The sequence below is a fragment of the Homo sapiens genome, chromosome 16 (assembly GCF_000001405.40).
Source record: "Homo sapiens chromosome 16, GRCh38.p14 Primary Assembly".
Taxonomy (NCBI): Eukaryota; Metazoa; Chordata; class Mammalia; order Primates; family Hominidae; genus Homo; species Homo sapiens.
The window spans coordinates 77,827,341-77,846,519 of record NC_000016.10 but is presented as its reverse complement, the minus strand read 5'-3'; the positions used below and the strand labels follow the sequence as shown (position 1 = coordinate 77,846,519).

At 44.9% G+C, this 19,179-nt stretch overlaps 1 protein-coding gene across 1 annotated transcript in view, besides 2 other annotated features; it reads right to left on the bottom strand.

The window, feature by feature from the left end:
* VAT1L (vesicle amine transport 1 like) overlaps positions 1 to 19,179 on the bottom strand; it is a 191,544-nt gene that overhangs the window by 133,588 nt on the left and 38,777 nt on the right. The window lies entirely within an intron of this gene.
* Positions 11,559 to 12,522: an enhancer, noted in NCBI's record as "NANOG-H3K27ac-H3K4me1 hESC enhancer chr16:77867895-77868858 (GRCh37/hg19 assembly coordinates)". NCBI's record gives its function as "activates a minimal SCP1, AML or CMV promoter by ChIP-STARR-seq in naive H9 embryonic stem cells {active_cell/tissue: H9 hESC(naive)}" and the evidence as "EXISTENCE:reporter gene assay evidence [ECO:0000049][PMID:30033119]".
* Positions 12,523 to 13,488: an enhancer, noted in NCBI's record as "NANOG-H3K27ac-H3K4me1 hESC enhancer chr16:77866929-77867894 (GRCh37/hg19 assembly coordinates)". NCBI's record gives its function as "activates a minimal SCP1, AML or CMV promoter by ChIP-STARR-seq in naive H9 embryonic stem cells {active_cell/tissue: H9 hESC(naive)}" and the evidence as "EXISTENCE:reporter gene assay evidence [ECO:0000049][PMID:30033119]".

The following is a 19,179-nucleotide window of genomic DNA, read 5'->3' as shown; positions in this document are numbered from 1 at the left end:
TGGCTGGCTGTTTGACTAACTCTCTGGTTATCTCTTTAGAAGATATTGCCAGTAGTGAAGGTGGCATCCTGTCTTTCATCAGTATACGGCAGCCCTACCAGTATGAAATCGTGAGGTCAAAGGGTTCAGTAAAATTCTAAAGAAAATATTTGGGGCAGCAAAGCAAGAATTTCTGTCATTGTGGTTCACTGAGGGATCAAGCGGAACCTGCTGGGGGCTGTTTCTGCTTTGGTATTGGGAAATCAAGCAGTCACTGGCATAATGGCTTACAAGCTGTTTTCAGTAATGAAACTGTGTCTACATGTAGCTCACATGTTGATGACAATGTACTCACTTATTAATTCTACATACTAATGTATCCTCCCCCTGTGTAATTAAGAACCTCATTATCATTACATAGGATAGGCAAAGTTCATCCATTTAATTTGATCCAACACTTGCCAAGCACCCACTCCATCCCAGACCCTGTGATATGTGGTGGAAGCACAGAGATGCTAAGGCCCATTCTGATTTCAAGAAGACCCCTCTAGCACAGGAAGACCCGGGATAATTGCACACATTAGTGCCTGGGATATAGAGGCAGTTAAGGCATAGCTGCTGGATGGATGGACGGACAGATGGACGAATGGACAGATGGATGAATGCACAGATAGATGAATCTAATAAGGGTAATATTAGAAAGATAATGTAGAGGGCATAGAGGCAGAAGAGCGGGAGGGGCTTCCAAAAGGAAGTGACATTTAAATGGTGAATAGAAACTTGCCAGGCAGAGGAAAAAGGGGAGCTAGTCTGGCTCTCAGGGTGGACGGTTGGACAGTGCAGAATTACATGGAGAGGATGAGCGGACAGGCTGGGCTGGAGAGAAAGCGACTGGGGAAGGGGATGATGAGGAGAGGTGTTTGTGTTCATCTTGGCTGATCATCAAAGACTTGTTCAAAGGGTTTGAATTTCCCCACAAGTGGACCCTAGGGTAAAAGTGTGGGTGCATATAGTTTAGTTGGAATGGGTCTCAGGAAGTCAGATGAACGAGTTAGGGTGGTGAGGCGGGGAAGGGAGGAAAGCCTACAAAGTGGCTTACCCCTGTGAACAACAAAGCTCTATTCTAGTGGGGCCCCTCTGAGAGGTGACATAGAACACACCTCCTAACTGTCCCACAGAGGGGGAGAGCACACTCAGGAACATACTGCCACACTCTTATCCCGCACCTGCTGAGGGATGCGCCTGTGGCATTAACTCAGGGCTCTTGCAACCTGCCTGAACATGGGCCAAATTGCAAACCAGGAAACAACCTCAGGCAGAGCTGTGGGCATCTGCCTGTGTGAATGGGGACTGTCAGCGCCGACCTCAGGGATGGGGATATGGCTGTGTCTGCTACACAGCCCAATGGCCAGCAGGCTAGATCTTAGCAAGCAAGCTCTGTGACTAGGAAGAAAATGCTCTTCCAATGACTTAATCTTGATGGCAAGTCCTGTCTGGGATGTTTGCAATTTCCAAAAGCTTTGCAAAGTGCTTTCTTCCTGCTTTTCACATAACTGCCTCCTTATCTCTGCTTAAATGTCACCCACTCAGTGAAGACATCTTTGATGATTTAATGTGCAGTAGGTCTCTCTGCCTGATATTCTCTATGATAGCATCTTGATCCTTTCATATATATATATACACATGCACACACACGTATTTATCGTGTGTGTATATGTGTATATGTTTGTGTGTATATATAGCCATCCCCAGTATCCTTGTGTGATTGGTTCCAGGAGCCCTCTGTAGATACCAAAATCTACAGGTGTTCAAGTCTCTGATATAAACTGGTAGTGCAGATGTGGTGGCTCACGCCTGTAATCCCAGCACTTTCAGACGCTAAGACGGCTGGATCACCTGAGGTCAGGAGTTTGAGACCAGCTCGGCCAACATGGGGAAACCTCGTTTCTAATAAAAATACAAAAAGTAGCCAGGCGTGGTGGTGGGCACCTGTAGTCCCACCTACTTGGGAGGCTAAGGGGGGAGAATCACTTGAACCTGGGAGGCGGAGGTTGCAGGGAGCTGAGATAGCGCCACTGCACTCCAGTCTGGGTGACAGAGCAAGACTCCATCTCAGAAAAAATAAAAAAAAATAAAAAATAAACTGGTGTAATAATTACATATAACCTATGCCCATCTTCCTGTATACTTTAAATCATCTCTAGATTACTTATAATACTTAGCACAATGTAAATGCTATGTACACAAGCTGTTATACTATATTGTTTAGGGAATAATCACAAGGAAAAAGTCTGTACCTGTTTAGTACAGATGCAAGTATCCATTTTCAAAAAATATTTTTGACCTGTGGTTGGTTGGATCCACAGATATGAAACCCATAATATAAGGGCTGGCTATATCTTATTTACACACACATACTATATGTATAATATGTATATGTGTGTGTGTGTATATATTTGCTGTATAGCTATGTGCCTTTCTCCCTTACAGATGGTCCTTGAGGACAGTGACTATTTTGTTTGCCATTGTATTCCAGATACCTAGCATGCCACCTGGCTCATAGTACATGCTCAGTAAAGATCTGCTGGGTGACCCAAGAAGGTCCACCACCTGTCTCCTGCTCTCCCTGGCAGAGGAAGGCAGAGGCAGGTTGGTCTCTCTGCTGGTCCTCCTCCACAAGCCCAGACCTCTGGGTCTAATTGTCTCCCCATGCTGTGGGGTCGCATGGCTGGGGAGGGACCCTGAGTGAGCATAGGTTGTATGCAAATATTAGACCAGTTTTTATCAGGGACCAGTTTGTATCAGGGACAGGGAGTAGACTGGCCTCTGTTTGGCCCTGTGAAGGGGGGTCCAGGTCTGCACTGAATACAGCCTTTTTCTCATCGTGGGGATGGGCTCTAGAGAACAGGGCTCCTTTTAGCTGCTGCTCTTGAGGCTTAAAATATTTCCCGTTCTTAATGCATTCCTGACTGGACGTGTCTCCTAATCAACTCAAATCCTGGCTTTCAGCCTCACTGGTGTAATTAATTCCCTGGAATGTTTAGAACTTTCTGTAGGAGAACTCAGGGGTTCCTGGGAAGTAAGGTTTGCCAGATAAAATTTGTATTTGCTAAATCCAGCATCTCTCCTGGGGGTCAACCTTCTGTTGGGGCTCTGGAGATCTGGGAGTAATGTGCCCACCTCTTTAAGTTGGGGCATCCTGGTGCATCCTTACCACCCTGCCAGCCCCATGAGCTTCACCCCTGCCCTCCCACTGCCCAGCTGGCTTCTCGGAGGCCAACATGACCCTATAAACCATTGAAAAAACAGCCCATAGCAAGGTCACCTTGATGCTCCCACAATAGTTGAGTGGGCAGAGGCAATGAGCAGATGGGTAGACCCGTACCTGCTGTCCCCTTTCTCATTTCCTGACCTATCTTTGTGGCTTAAAACACAGGATTTGAGAAGGACCTATCTGAGTGTGAATTGTACCTCTGTCTTTGCCAATCTTGTGACTTTGGGTGACTGGCTTTATTTCAGTAAATTCTGAGTTCTTAAATCTCAAAATGAGTTGATGAGAATACGCTATACCTCACAGAGTTGTGAGCAGAAATAAAATAACGAATGCAAGGCACTGAGCAGCATGCTTGTCAAAAATGGAACGGGGAAAAATACATTTCCTTGTTTAATTTTACATACATATTATGCATACAAATTTACATGGTAAAATTTGAAAAATTGCTACTTGGTATTATCTTGGAATTCATTCATCCATCAGTTTATCCATCCAAGGAGTTGTGAATAAAACTCAATTAGTGGGGCTGGGAGTAGAGAGAGCAGAGGTGTTTTAGGAAACTGACATTACAGTAAGAACCAGGGCCCTCGTGATTTATTTCTGGCTGCCTGTGTCACTTATCACTACCTACCCCTGGCTTTGGCCATACCCGATTCTTACAGCTCTCTCAAAGTATCATGTTCTCCTGGGCTTTTGTGCCATGTTTCTTGGCTACCTAGAAAACTCCTATTTAAGAACTCTGCTAACCTATCATTCCCCCACTCCGCACAGGAATTAATCATTTTTTTCCTGTGAATTACTTTCGTTGGTTCTGTCATTGCAGACTCCACACTCCATGCACATATTTGGTTGCTCGTTGGTCTCCTCCAGGGAACTGGGAGCCCTCTCAATGCAAGCACTGTGTCTTACCCATTTCGTCTCTGCAGGGCCTTGTACAGGGCCAGACACTGAGTGGGCACCCATCTATAGATCTACAGGAGTGTGTTTCCAATGGCTCTCAGGTTCATCAGGGCCCAGAAAGAGTTTTTAGACTTTCTCCTTGGAAAAGAGCAACCAGACTGGTTTTGAAAGCCCTTGGTAGACTGGGCGCGGTGGCTCACGCCTGTAATCCCAGCACTTTGGGAGGCCAAGGCAGGCAGATCACCAGGTCAGGAGATTGAGACCATCCTGGCTAACATGGTGAAACCCCGTCTCTACTAAAAACACAAAAAATTAGCCAGGCGTGGTGGCGGGTGCCTGTAGTTCCAGCTACTCGGGAGGCTGAGGCAGGAGAATGGCGTGAACCCGGGAGGTGGAGCTTGCCATGAGCCAAGATCGTGCCACTGCACTACAGCCTGGGCAACAGAGCGAGACTCTGTCTCAAAAAAAAAAGAAAAAGAAAAAAAGAAAGCCCTTGGTAGCTTCTCCTGATGGATAAAGGCTTAGACACCACTAAGTCTTTCAGAAAAAGTGAAATCCAGGCTTTTCCTTGCACCAGTTGAGACTCGCATTTTGCCACCATGTTCCACCCCCATGTAGAGCTCAGGACGATCATCTCCAGAGGAAATAGTTTCCAGGCTTTTTCAATCATGTAGGAAGCCCCCACCTTTCTCCCTTTGTCAGAACAATGAAGCCCACTCTAAAAAGCAGTTTCCAGGAGACAGGGTGATGGAATTGTCAGCTCTTTGACATAGAGGACATTCCTGTACCGTGGACAAAGTCTGACATTTGTGAGACAGAAGAGGTGGTAGTAATTTACGCTTCCAGTGTCCCATGACTACCATTAGGAGGGTGACAATCTGTCATGTGTAATGGGTCAACAAGGAGGAAATACACCCAGGCATTCCTGCCCGATGAGAGAGTTATATATGAACATTTCTCAATGCTCATAAAAAATGTGTTATTGGCCAGGTGTGGCGGCTCATGCCTGTAATCCTAGCACTTTGGGAGACCAAGGCAGGAGGACTGCATGAGCCCAGGAGTTCAAAACCAGCCTGGACCAAATAGTGAGTTCCCATCTCACCAAAAAGTTTTTAAACATTAGCTGGGTATGGTGGCATGAGCCTGTAGTCTCAGTTACTTGGGAGACTGAGGTGGGAGGATTGTTTGAGCCCAGAAAGTTGAGACTGCAGTGAGCCCCGATTGCACTACTGCACTCTAGTCCAGGCAACACAGCAAGACTCTGCCTCAAACAAACAAAAAAATGACATGTTATTGGTGCATACAAGGCCATTTGATTTAATAGTTAACTTTTAAATCCATGTAGCTTGCTTAAGGTTTGAAGCTAAAGTTACCATAACCCTTAAGATGAAGAGGAGTGAAAAAGTGTATAACAAGCATGTTTATGTAATTTGAATATTTGCCTTCTGAAATCCATGCTGGATTGTGTAATAAGATGATTTCCAATACCACAGTTAAAAATAGCTAAGTATGCATTACATTCTAGACCCTATGCATTAAATGAGTGTTTACAAATGAGCAAGCTGAGACTTCGAGAGGTGAAGGAATGTGCCCCAGGTCTCACAATCATCAAATAGCTGGGCCAGGAATCAAACACGTATCTGCCAAGTCCAGAGCCCTAACCACTGCATTGTCCTACCACGGGAGTAAACATATTCATCACTAAGTTGCTGTGTATTTTACAAATACAACTGGTCTGTAGTATTTTCTCCTGACATGCAAAACGAAATGAGTGTTCCTAGGATGAGGAGCACAGATCTGAATACCAGACAGATTTTATGGATACAAAATAAAAAAGAAACTGAAGAAGATGAATAGCATCTAGATACTCTTTATCGGTTGTTTTTCTTGTTATTTTACAACAAGAATGGAATGCTCCTGATACTCTAACTACTAGCTTTATGCTACAGAGAGAGGTCAGCCCTTCCACCAGCTGGGCCAGCATACAGAGATGTTTAAAAGGGGAAGAGGTCATAGGTTTGGTTTTGAAAGATTTCGAAATAACCATTCACGTGTGCCCTTTTATGAGAACTTCCCTGACTACCTGCCTCCCTGCCTCCCCACCTAATATGCTGGACTGCCCATTTGCTTTTATGAGCAAACACTAAAACGTGTACAAGGTAATGATTCTGTTACCTCTTATCTCTGATGCAGGGCATGATATTGGCATAATCACAGCCACCACTCACTGCAGGCTCTCTTGGAGAGCTAACGATTCCATAGATTATCTCATTAAACTTCACAGCAACCTTAGGAGGGGAGGTGTTTTGCCAATTTTACACATGAGGAAACTGAGTCTTAGATGAAGCAGCTTGATTAAGATCACCCAGCAAGGTGCGGAAGCTAAGATGCAAATATAGGTCAGTCTCACCCCAAAGACTCTCAACTCTATGCCATCATAGACATAAATGACCATACACTCATTCAGGGTTGACATTGAAGATCAATACATTCTTTAAATCCATATTTAATGTGCTTTGCATGTTCTAAAGCACCTCCATGCAATGAGGGTGATATTTAATTCTTATTGAACTGCTGAGCATCAGGTTCTGTTCTAAGTGCTCTGCATCAGTGGTTCTCAACCTTGAGCATGCATTAGAGTCTCCTGGAGGGCCCATGACAAGATAGATTGCTGATCCCGCCCCAAGGTTGTGTACCACCCAATCACTTACTGTCATTTCTTTCTCTATTCTCCTTCTCACTTGTCATACTCTGGTCAGTTTGTCAAATGCCCAGGTCTCATGTTCTTGCCCATTCTTTTTTTTTTTTTTTTTTTTTTTTTTTTTTTTTTTGATATGGAGTATCTCTCTGTCGCCCAGGCTGGAGTGCAGTGGCGCGATTTCGGCTCACTGCAAGCTCTGCCTCCCAGGTTCACACCATTCTCCTGCCTCAGCCTCCTGAGTAGCTGGAACTACAGGTGCCCACCACCACGCCCAGCTGATTTTTTTGTATTTTTAGTAGAGACAGGGTTTCACCGTGTTGGCCAGGATGGTCTCCATCTCCTGACCTCGTGATCTGCCCGTCTCGGCCTCCCAAAGTGCTAGGATTACAGGCGTGAGCCATCGCGCCCGGCCGTGTTGTTGCCCATTCTTAAAACACTGTATCCTTTCCCCCTTCATTCCCTTCACCTCTCATTCCCTCCCCCTCCTTCAGACATCAGTCCTCAGTTTAGTCCCTGAGCACAGTCATCTTGGGTCCTCTAGACCAGGCACTTACGTCCTCATGTTCTGCGGCAGCTTTTACTCCTCCCTCTAGTACCAATTACCACTGCCATCGATGACTAATGCGCCTCTTTGTAAGTCTATATCATATCCACAGGACTGCAGGCTTCAGGAATATGGGATGAGACCTGAGTTTGCTCACTATGGAATACCCAGAGACCAACACAGTTACCCCCAGGGCTTGTACTTGACAGATGCTGAAAGAAAGAGATGGGGGTGGGGGGTGGAGAGAAAGAATAAAGGGGAGAAAGAGAAGGAGGAAGGGAGGAAGGAGAGAAAGAGAGAAGGAAAAGAAGAAGGAAAGAAATGAGAGAGAGAAAAAGAAGAAAGGAAGGAAGGAGAGAAGGAAACGGAAAAGAGAGGAAGGGAGACAGAAAAAGAGTGAAAAAAAAGGAAAGAGAGATGGAAATGGACAGAAAGACAAAGGAACAGAGAGGCAGGGAGGGAAAGGAGGAGGGAAAGGGAAGGAGACAGGAAGTATAGATCAGTTTGTTGCGGTGGGGAGAGGGACATAGCTTGTGTGAGGGGCAGGGAGTGCTCAAATTTAATCTCTCTATCCTGTCGTGGAGTCGGACGCCCAGGCATGTTGAGAGCAGGGGGGTGAGTGCAAGGAAAAGGGAAACTGCCAAATTTGCCATGACATGAGCTGCAAAATGAACACAATCAGAGTGACCAGTGGCCAGCCTGGGTGATGGGGGGCCAGGGCCAACATCCTGGTGGGTGTCAGTGAGAACAGAGACCACGCGCCTCAAAGGCAACGAGGCTGCTTCTTGCTACACACCTCCCTTTCCCAACTGAACTGATTTTTCTTCTTAATAAAGGCAATAATAATCTGAAAAGCAACTGTGGCCTTTTGGGTATGTCACTGGGAAAGTGGATGGGTCCCCAGAGTCATATAAACCCGGCCAAGAGTAGTCCCTGTGTTTGGAGTTCTCAGCATGTATCCAAGGGGCCAGAACTATAGAGCTAAATTTTCCCTAAAGTCTAATTATTTCATATGTGGTCAAGGAAAGCGATGTTTGGAAGGGGGCTTGAGACAATCTCACCAGTTCATAGAGCATGGAGCAGCGGCTGTCAGGGAAGATAGACCAAGGGAGATGAGATCGGCTTTCTTTGCCCCTCGCTCTAGGTTTCAACCGTCAACCTAACCTGTTTGCTTCTGGCTGTAAATGCCAAAGTATCGCTGGGTAATATTGTCTAATGAGACAGTGATAATAATGATATAATAGGAATAATAGCAGCTAACATTTGAATTTTCTATGTGCCAGGGAGCATCTAAGTCCATTACAAGACCCCCTTTTTAAAATGCCATATAATAAGGATACAATACGTATTAGACCTGTTCTTTATAGAGGAAGAAACAAAGTCCAAGGAAGTTAAAGTACTTGCTCAAGCTCTGTCACCTGGAAACCAGAGAAGCTGGCATGAAAACCAGCTCTGACTCCAGAATCTGGACCCTTAAGTTTCATACCATTTTTATAATGTACATACTGCTGGTTTTGGCCCTTTTCTGTCTTCTTTCCCTTGATTCTTTCATTTCTTCTACAAATATTTCCGAAGCAGCACCAATGTGCTGGGTACTGAGATCAGTGGTTGGGATACAGGGGATGAAGGGTTCACACCATCCCTGCCTTCACGAACACAGCAGCCTGAGGTTTAATTTCATGGACACAGGAGCCTGAGGTTTAATTTCATAGATGCAGCAGCTTGAAGTTTAATTTATGGACACAGCAGCCTGAGGTTTAATTTATGAACATGGGAGCCTGGGGTTTAATTTCAGCCAGATAGTTAACATCAAGGTAGCTCCAGGCACCAAATCTGCCTGACCCCTTGAGAAATCAGCTGTGTCAACTAAAGATCCTCCCCTCTTCCTCAGCTCCTGGGAAAACCCAGGCAATCCTTAACTCACGGAGGCAAAGTCGACCAACAAAACCCGTGGAGTGAAATCCCTTCCATCTCACTCTAGGCAGAGGCAGGGCTTCTTTCAGCACTGCCTACCTGTCAGCCCAGCCTAGCACTTAAACACATGGGCTCTGTATTCAAAGAGAGTGCACATGCCAGCTCTTCCTCTCTATAAGCTGTGTGACCTGGAATAAGTTACTTAACCTCTCTGTGTCTCAGTTTCCTCTGTTAAAATGAGGTGCGATAGTATCTTATAGACAATGTATGGAAATTATTGAGCTCAATCTACTTTAGCTCTTCTGTCTTCCTGAGCTTATATATTTATTCAACTAATATTGCATAAATAAATCTGTCACAGAGGCCAAATTCACCTATACGATATTTATAATAAAGTTAGTTCATTTGAGTCAATCATGATTTACGGTCAAGGAGATAAAAACAATTAAAATAAAGAATGAGTGATGCTTTTTCAGCAATAGACGTGGATTGGAAGAGGTGTTTTTAGATCTATATATTTACATATTTTTAACCTAAGGCATTTTGCTGCTATGAGGAATCCAGTCATGTGCTGTTGGCATTAGAGATTTCTGGGAGCAAGGAGGCGGGGCCCTCGTTCCACAACATATCTCAGAAATGTCTCTGACATTTTGGAAGGCAAAGGCCTGTTTCCCAGGGTCAGCAGTTAGGGAAAGAGGGTCTTAATCATTCCAGTGAGTCCCCAGCCATAGCCCTTCCTGCTGATGTGCAGATGCAGTTAATCCTCATCGCTTTGATTATTCATGAAAGACATGATAAAGCCATTTAGTTCTCTTTAAATTTTCAGGGCTTCTGTTTCCCATTATTGCAGGACCCTGGGGACCAGGTATCTGGCCATAGTGAAATCTCCCTTATCCTGGGGCTCACGGTGGGACAGGCAGAAAAAATGAGCGAGGTGCAGGTGTTTCTGAGGCCACTGTGTGGTATAGTGTCAAGAGCACTGAATCGGGGGTCCCTAGCTCTCTATATTTGAGTTCAAATTGGATCCTCTGACTATAATTAACATTATAGCCTAGAAAATAACACTGAAACTCTTAGTCTCAGAAATCAGTGGGTGTTCAGTCATGTGCCAAGCACTGCCCCAAGTTCACAAGTAATACCTAAGGCTGGCACTAACATCACCTCCACTATACAGATGAAGAAACTGAGTCTTAGTGTGGTTAGGAAGATGGAGCTGGGACTAAACCCAAGGAGTCTGACTTTAGAGCTCATACTCTGTTCTCTTCTCTGTCACATACTATTCAACAGGGAGGATTTTAGGAGGGTTAAATGAACAGCATTTTTTTTTTTTTCTTGAGACAGAGTTTTGCTCTTGTTGCCCAGGCTGGAGTGCAAAGGCATGATCTTGGCTCACTGTGACCTCCGCCTCCGGGGTTCAAGTGATTCTCTTGCCTCAGCCTCCTGAGTAGCTGGGATTACAGGCATCCACCACCACGCCTGGCTAATTTTTGTATTTTTAGTAGAGATGGGGTTTCACCATGTTGGCCAGGCTGGTTTTGAACTCCTGACCTCAGGTGATCCACCTGCTTTGGCCTCCTAAAGTGTTGGGATTACAGGTGTGAGCGACCACACCCAGCCATGAACAGCATGTTTGAAGAGTCTAGTACACAGTACTTGACTGACAAAAGTGAGTGTATGTCTTAATTCCCTTCTAGCTCTGAGATCCCATGCATTGCCTGCTAGTTGGGGCCTTGAAGGAAGTGGACTCAGCACAGCTGGACCATGGGATGATGGATGGAGTGATGCTGGGACAGCCACAGGGGCCATGAAAAGGGGACCTCATTTAATGAATATTACATACCAGAGGCAGCCAAAAAATCTGGAAAGACTATTCAGACTGTTGGATAGCATGAGAAAGAACCCCAAAGACTGCTTAATAGATTTAAATTTACAAGATCACTGGGAATGATTTTTCCTCCCCCTGGGATTAACTCAGTTGGCAGGGCTCTCCTTAGTTCAGCAAATAACTCTTCTAGAATATAGAAAAAATTGGCTTGTGACAGCTTTTTGATTCACAAGTATTTACTGCATTTACGACGTGGCAGGAACCAGACACAAAAAGAAAAAGAACCAGTTGCTTTGATGGAGGGGCTTATAGGTTTGGGGGAATGAAATTAAAAAAACAAAAGCAAACCAACACTTAACAGTAATAACAATAACAATAATAAAGATAGCTAACACTTACTTTATGCCTGGTCCTATGTTTAGTGTCTCCCAAGCATCAGCTCATTTAACATACACAGAGACCCTCTGAGGAATAAATGCATTGTTATTATTCCGATGACGTGAATGAGCAAACTGAGAAGTATTTTGCTCGCGGTGGTAAGCTTTGGACATAGACTGACTCCAGGGCCCAGGCCATTAATCTTAGGAAAATGAAGGGATGAGGAGGATGCAGTCTGGGATGCAGAAAAGCCTAACACATGGTAGGTGATGTCAAGGGCCTGGAATCTTAGTGATTTAAGATAAGAGAAGCTTCTTTTTTTTTTCTCCCTTGCTCACATAAAGCTCAAATGCAGGGACTGGATAGAGACGGGGGATAGGAGAAGAGAGTGGAGTTATTCAGGGTCCCAGGCCGATGAAGCCTCTGTAATCTTTAACACGGGCTTCCCAGGTTGACTTCAACACCTACCAGAAAACTGGGGAGAAAGAAAGAGAGATCATAGAGGATCTCACAGGACGGGGCAGGCCTGGAAGTGATGTGCATCGCATACCTCTGTCCATGTTTCGTTGGTCCAAACTCAGATGCATGGGCCCTGCTAGGTACTAGGGCAGGGGGCAGGGAGGATGGTTTGAAAATGCAGTCTCTGGCTGGGCAGCTGCTTATAAGCAGCAATTCTGTCCACAGAAGCAGACTACAAAGCTTCTATAGAACAGGCAAGGGCCACACACCTTACAGAGGCTGCAAGTCCTTCGGTATTACTGAAGTAAGGAGAAATAGAGGAAAAGTGGACAGAGAGAGAGAGAAAGAGAAAGGAAGGCAAGGGCCTAGATAATGAGAGCCGTGTGTGTCCAGAAGCTAAGGGGACTGAACTTGTCCTGAGAACAATGGGAGCCGCTGTGGATTCGCAACAGGAAGTGACAAGAACAGATTGGTATGTGTGGAGAACCATTCTGGTTGCAAGTAAGGAGTGAAAAGAATAAGGAGAGGAAACTAATGAGGAAGCCTGTTGAATAGCTGCTGCAATCACCTGGGGAGAGATACTGGGGCCAGAAGTAAAACAGCAGTGAATGGAAGACGGAGAGTTAGGTGATGTAAGAAACGCCCTCCTGTCCGGAATTCTTTGTATGAAGGCCTACCCCCATTCCACGTCTCATGAAAGCCCAGCCCACCTCCACTTCTAATGAAGCCCCCCTCACCTCTCATGAAAGCCTATTCCCACTTTCATTTTTCTTTTTTTTCTTTTTCTTTTTTTTTTGAGACAGAGTCTCACTTTGTCACCAGGCCGGAGTGCAATGGTGTGATCCCGGCTCACTGCAACCTCCGACTCCCTGGTTCAAGCAGTTCTCCTGCCTCAGCCTCCCTAGTAGCTGGGATTACAGGCACACGCCACCATGCCCAGCTAATTTTTGTATTTGTAGTAGAGACTGGGTTTCACCGTGTTGGCCAGGATGGTCTCGAACTCCTGACCTCGTGATCTGCCCGCCTCGGCCTCCCAAAGTGTTGGGATTACAGGCGTAAGCCACCACGCCCAGCCCACTACCACTTTTCATGAAGAACCTCCTCCTCCACCCTTGTTCAGTTTATCTGCTTATCATCCACAGATTAGCGTTAAATGCCACTTCCTTGGGGATGCCTTCCCTGATTCCACCCCTCACCTCCTCTGGTGCAGGTCAGGTCTCTGTTCTCAATACTCATATCACCTTGTATCTCCCTGGTGTAGCACTTGGCAAAGTTATCCATGTGACTATTTGATTTATACGCCCATCAATGTCTAGGGCTTCTCATTGAAAGAAGAGAATCTGTCTTATTCCCTACCGAACTCCTAGCGCCTAATTCAATGTCTTGAACAGAGTAGGCCCTCACTGCATATGTGCTGAATGAGTGAATAAGTAAATGAATGAATCACAGGATTTGGAAACTTGTAGCATGTTGAAGAAGAGCAAACCATGATTCTTGGGTTGCTGACTTGAGTAACTGGGTAGATACTGGTGCCTTTTAGGGTCAATGATGGTTTTCTTTTCAACAAAATATACTCCTGCGGTGATGCTGTAGATGGTTTTGTCTTTTCTGCTAAAACTGTATGAGTGTATCTTGCATGTCCAAATCCTTCAGCCACTGAAGATCGTCACTTGCTCCATGCTGTTGTGGCTTAATGATAAGATGATGTTGGTTCAGGGAGGACCACAAGTGCTCAGGCACATAGATGGTGTGGAAAAGCCTCATAATGCCCCCTTTATAGATTCTTCCCCTCCCTTGTGTGGTTTATCCTTTTAAATAGTTTGAATGACACTGGGAAATGCCTCATCCATAACGAATAGAATTTAATCATTGAGTGGTTACCAAATTTAACTCCATCTGAAAGTTAAGCTCTGCTTTCCTTTCCAAGGTCTATGGTCCAGCCCAGGCTGTGGTGATCAGAGAAGCTTCTCTCAGCCTGCTTAGTGTTTTCCCCAAATGTCTTAGCTGGATGCCTGTCAAGAAAATCTCATCTGAGCCCGGTAGAGATCCAGGAATGCTTCTTCCAGCCCTTCCTGTGACTTGCAATTGGGACCAGACTAGAGGAAGTTACAGCTGTCTTTAGGTTGTCTCTAAATTGTCCTCATGGTAGGGAAAGCTAAGACCACATCATGGTGGAGCTGGAGAATATGCCTAGAGGTGAAAGAATTTGAAAACTCATTTGCCTTCGTGGAATCCTCTGGGTAAAATAGTCTGTCACTCCGTGTTTCTCTCCAACTCTTTATCTTGGAATAACTTTAGTTTTACCGAGAGGTTGAAAAGACTATACAGAGATTTCCAAGATACCGTTTGCCCATACTTCCTTAATGCCAACACCTGACATTGCTATGGTACACATCAAAACTAAAGAAACAACACTGGGGCTGCGCACGGTGGCTCACACCTGTAATCCTAGCACTTTGAGAAGCCGAGGTTGGTGGATTGCCCGAGGTCAGGAGTTCGAGACCAGCTTGGGCAACAAGGTGAATCCCTGTCTCTACTAAAATACAAAAAAAAAAAAAAAAAATTAGCCGGGCATGGTGGTGGGCGCCTGTAGTCCCAGCTACTTGGGAGGCTGAGGCAGGAGAATCGATTGAAGCCGGGAGGCAGAAGTTGCAGTGAGCCGAGATCAAGCCACTGCACTCCAGCCTGGGTGACAGAGTGAGACTCCATCTCCAAAAAAAAAGAAAAACAACAAACAAACAAAAAACACAAAACAAACCACTGGTACCAAACGGTTAATTAAACTGCAGACTTTATTCTGATTCCATCAGTTTTTCCATTAATGGCCCTTTTCAGTCCAGGAAACCACATTTTGTGTGTATTTCTCATAGCTCCTTTGTCTCTTCTCATCTGTGATGGTTTCTCAGTCTCTTCCTATGGTTTTCATTACCGTAACAGGTTTGAGGAGTACCGGTCAGGTATTTTATAGACTTTCCCTCAATTTGGGCTTGTACTATGTTTTATCATGATTAAATTAGGGTTATGGGTTTGGGGAAAGAATATCAGAAAGGTAAAATGTCATTCTCATCATCTCAGGGAGTATGACACATACATGGAAGCAGCACCTTTTCTGCATCAAATATTTGGCCAGGAGTAATTCAATAAACATTTATTCAGCCACTGATAGGTACCCAGTACTATGAATATAAAGAAACCTCTCCCTCCCTTCTGCTCTCTTTCTTCTCTGCCTCATCTCCTCTCTTCTTACCATTTATAGACTATATGTCAAGTAGTCTGCTAAGCCCTGTGTTTCTCCCTTAATCCTTACGTGAGGTAAATGTTACCATTTTCATTTTATAAAAACTAAGTTCTTTGCCTAGTGTCCCCCCACCACCTATTAAATGACAGAGCTGAAGACTGGATTCAGGTTTGCCTGTCTTCTTCTTACCAAACAACCCAGCCTTCAGTAGATGATAACTCTGCCCATGAAATGTTGCTGGGAGGATGAACCATGTATTATTCTGTTCTCACACTGCTAATAAAGAAATACCCAAGACTGGGTAACATAAAGAATAAGAGGTTTGGCCAGATGCGGTGGCTCACGCCTGTAATCCCAGCACTTTGGGAGGCCGAGGCGGGCAGATCACCTGAGATCAGGAGTTCGAGAACAGCCTCGCCAACGTGGTGAAATCCCATCTCTACTAAAAATACAAAAATTAGCTGGGCATGGTGGCTCGGGCCTGTAATCCCAGCTACTCAGGAGGCTGAGGCGTGAGAATCCCTTTAACCCGGGAGGCAGAGGCTGCAGTGAGCTGAGACTGCGCCACAGCCCTCCAGCCTGAGAGAGTGAGACTCCATCTCAACAACAACAAAAAAGAATAAGAGGTTTAATGGACTCACAGTTCCACATGGCTGGGAGGCCTCCTAATCATGGTGGAAGGCAAAGGAGGACCAAAGTCATGTCTTACATGGTAGCAGGGAAGAGAGCTTGTGCAGGTGAACTCCCCTTTATAAAACCATCAGATCTTGTGAGAATTACTCCGTATCACAAGAACAGCATGGGAAAGACTCCTCCCACTGGGTCCCTCCCACAACATGTGGGAATTATGGGAGCCATAATTCAAGATGAGATTTTGGCGGGGACACAGACAAACCATATCAAACCATAGACAAATAAAAGGCTGTAAGGATTCTCCTATAGCTTTTATTAAAGGGTTAAGGCTACCCAGACAAGAGAGGACAGTATGGCTTCCCAGAGGAGCTTACATCTGAATTGGGAGAGAATACCATTTTGGAAAGAAAAAAACAGCATATGAAAAGGCACAGAGGTTCAGAGCTTCAAATTTTGCTACTTTGATGCTATTAGATTACATTAGGAGTACACCATAAGATAAAGAGTGTTCTGAGTAGAGTGAGAAGGTCAGGGTGGCTGGAGGGCAGAGTGCTGATCTTGCCTCATCTTCCCTGAGACAGTTTCTGAAAAGGCACAGAATAGAGGCGCATCTCATGTTCCTCGAGGGGCTGGCTGGAGGTGGTGGACCAGTGACAGCATCAAATGGGGTCAGGAAGCCGGGGCACATGCTGGCACCTAGGTTCACTTCATTTTCTCTAACCCTCAGCTTCCACTTCTGTAAAATGGGAATGATGCTTGCTTACTGCCTATAGTAATCTCTGCTCAGATGATATGATGATAAAGGTAAGAGGACTCTGAAAACTGCAAAGCATCAGATATCAGACACAAATGCAAATAACCTCACAGGAACAGTAATGCCACTCTCCAGAAACTGAGCACACCCGGATTAAGAGACTCAGAGTCATAGCAGCTTTATCAACAAGGCTCATTAAACGGGACTGGCAACAAAACTCGAGGCCCAACATGAGTCTCATTCTGTTACCTATTTTGTTACTTTTCCTTTAAAGGATTGTGACCCAATTTTCAACCAGTTTCTAAAGATCTTATTAAGAGCACTGCCATTTGGGGCCATCTTGTCATGCTATTGTCAGAGGAAAACAATGTCCTCAAAGATATGACAGAGCATGGAGGCAGTGGGCAATTCCAATGAGAGTGTATCCTGCTCCAGATTGAATTATTTTTCCATGCTGTATTCAGGTTTCCTTAAAACCATAGCTAAGTTTGGTATTCCTCACATGCTGTCTGCAAATTCCCCATCTCAGCCTTTGATGAAACTCGGACAGAAGTCTTGGTGCCATTAGGGCTACACACTTTACATAACCCTATTTAGGAAACTTTGCCCCAGCTATTACTAGGTTTAGTCTTCTTTGTCATCTCATCGACACCAAGTTAGCAAATATGTACCTGGGCCCGTCTTTTGGATCTTGAAAACATCTATGCTGAGCACTGGGTAGAGGTTGAACAAATATTTGTTAAATGAAGGACTGAAGAATCTGGGCTGGCTCTCCCAACATTTTGGGCTGTTGAATGGAAAGAGAAGAGGTTTTGGAATCAGCCAAATTGAGGTACGAATCGTAGTTCTGCAATTCGCTACTTTGATTTTCTTCAGGCCTCTGCTGGCGGGCCATAATGAAAAGGGAGGGAGAGAGGCAGCCCCAGGAAAGTGGTAGTATCGGTTTCCCATAAGTGGCAACAAATTAACACAAACTTAGTGGCTCAAAACACAGATTTGGGATATTAAATTGCTAGAGGTCTGAAGGGCAAAATGGGTTTCGCTCGGCTAAAATGAAGGTCTTAGCAGGGTTGTATTCCTTCTGAAAGCTCAAGAGGCGAATCCATTTCCTGCCTCTTCCAGCATCTAGAGGCCACCTGCTTCCTTGGTTCACAGCCTCCTCCTCCATCAGAGCCAGCAGTGTAGCTTCTCTCATTCTCTCTCTGATTCTTCTACTTCCCACTCCCACCTTTTTTATTTTTATTTTTTTATTTTTTTGAGATGGAGTTTTGCTCTTGTTGTCCAGGCTGGAGTGCAGTGGCACGATCTCAGCTCACTGCAACCTCTGCCTCCCGGCTTCAAGCGATTCTCCTGCCTCAGCCTCCTAAGTAGCTGGGATTACAGGCATGCGCCACCATGCCCAGCTAATTTTGTATTTTTATAGAGATGGGGGTTTCTCCACGTTGGCCAGGCTGGTCTCGAACTCCCGACCTCAGGTGATCCGCCCGCATTGGCCTCCCAAAGTGCTGGGATTACAGGCGTGAGCCACCGCGCCCGGCCCCCACTCCCACCTTTAAGGACTCTTGTGATGACACTGGGTCATCCTGAATAACGCAGGATAACCTCCCTATCTCAACGTCCTTACTTTAGTCATACCTGTAAAGTTCCTTTTGCCAGGTAAGGCAACATACAGGTACCAGGGACTCACTGGTCTCTCCCTGCAGGGGAGTGTGATGGTGTGGGCTCTCTGCAGGACTCCTTAGATTTTGTAAGACAGTGCCCCACCCATCCCGGCTCAGCGGAGTGTTCACATATGTGGATCTGCACTTTGCCAAAAATCTCTTCTCTAATGGTAACCTTTAATTGCCACACACCACCTATCAAATCTCGTTTCAGAGAACGCTATTCAAAGAGACCAGCCCGTCTGAGAGATGGGTCCAACTGCACTTTTCAACTCTGCCTGAAGATTAAACCAGACCACATCCTTTTGGCCCAAGAATATATGCTCTCACTAAATCTTGCTTTACTTTGATGCTCTTAGATTACATTAAGAGTGCACCGTAAGAAAAACCTTCATGGAAACAGTTGCATTTACTATAACAGCTTTGTTGAGGATGTTTATTGCATTTCACCATACATTTCTTATGAGAAACCACAGAGAAAGAAAGAGTCCTCTGGTCCCCAAAACCAGTGTTAGTTATGGTTACCCCTAGTAACTGTTTTATTTCAATCAAATGAACACTAGTTCACATGGATGACCATTTCCCCCTATTTTCACTCACTATTAGAAAGCTAAGAGACAAAATTGTACAACTTCAGCAAAGCTTTAGGACAACATAGCCTGTGCTATGTGCATTGACTTATTTTCCAACCCTCATTGTCCACTTTCCCCAGTTCCTTCACCTGTTTTACACTTTAGTTAGTATTGTCGGTAGCATCTGTAAGCCCAGAATAGAGCACGATAAAAACTTCTTTTTATTTTCCAAGATTATTTTCCTTTTGTAAGACACATGCCCCTGACACATTCTTCTTTGCTCCAAGAACAAAACAATAAAAATAAAAACATGAAATGAAATATCATAGGTGTAAATGTATAAATAC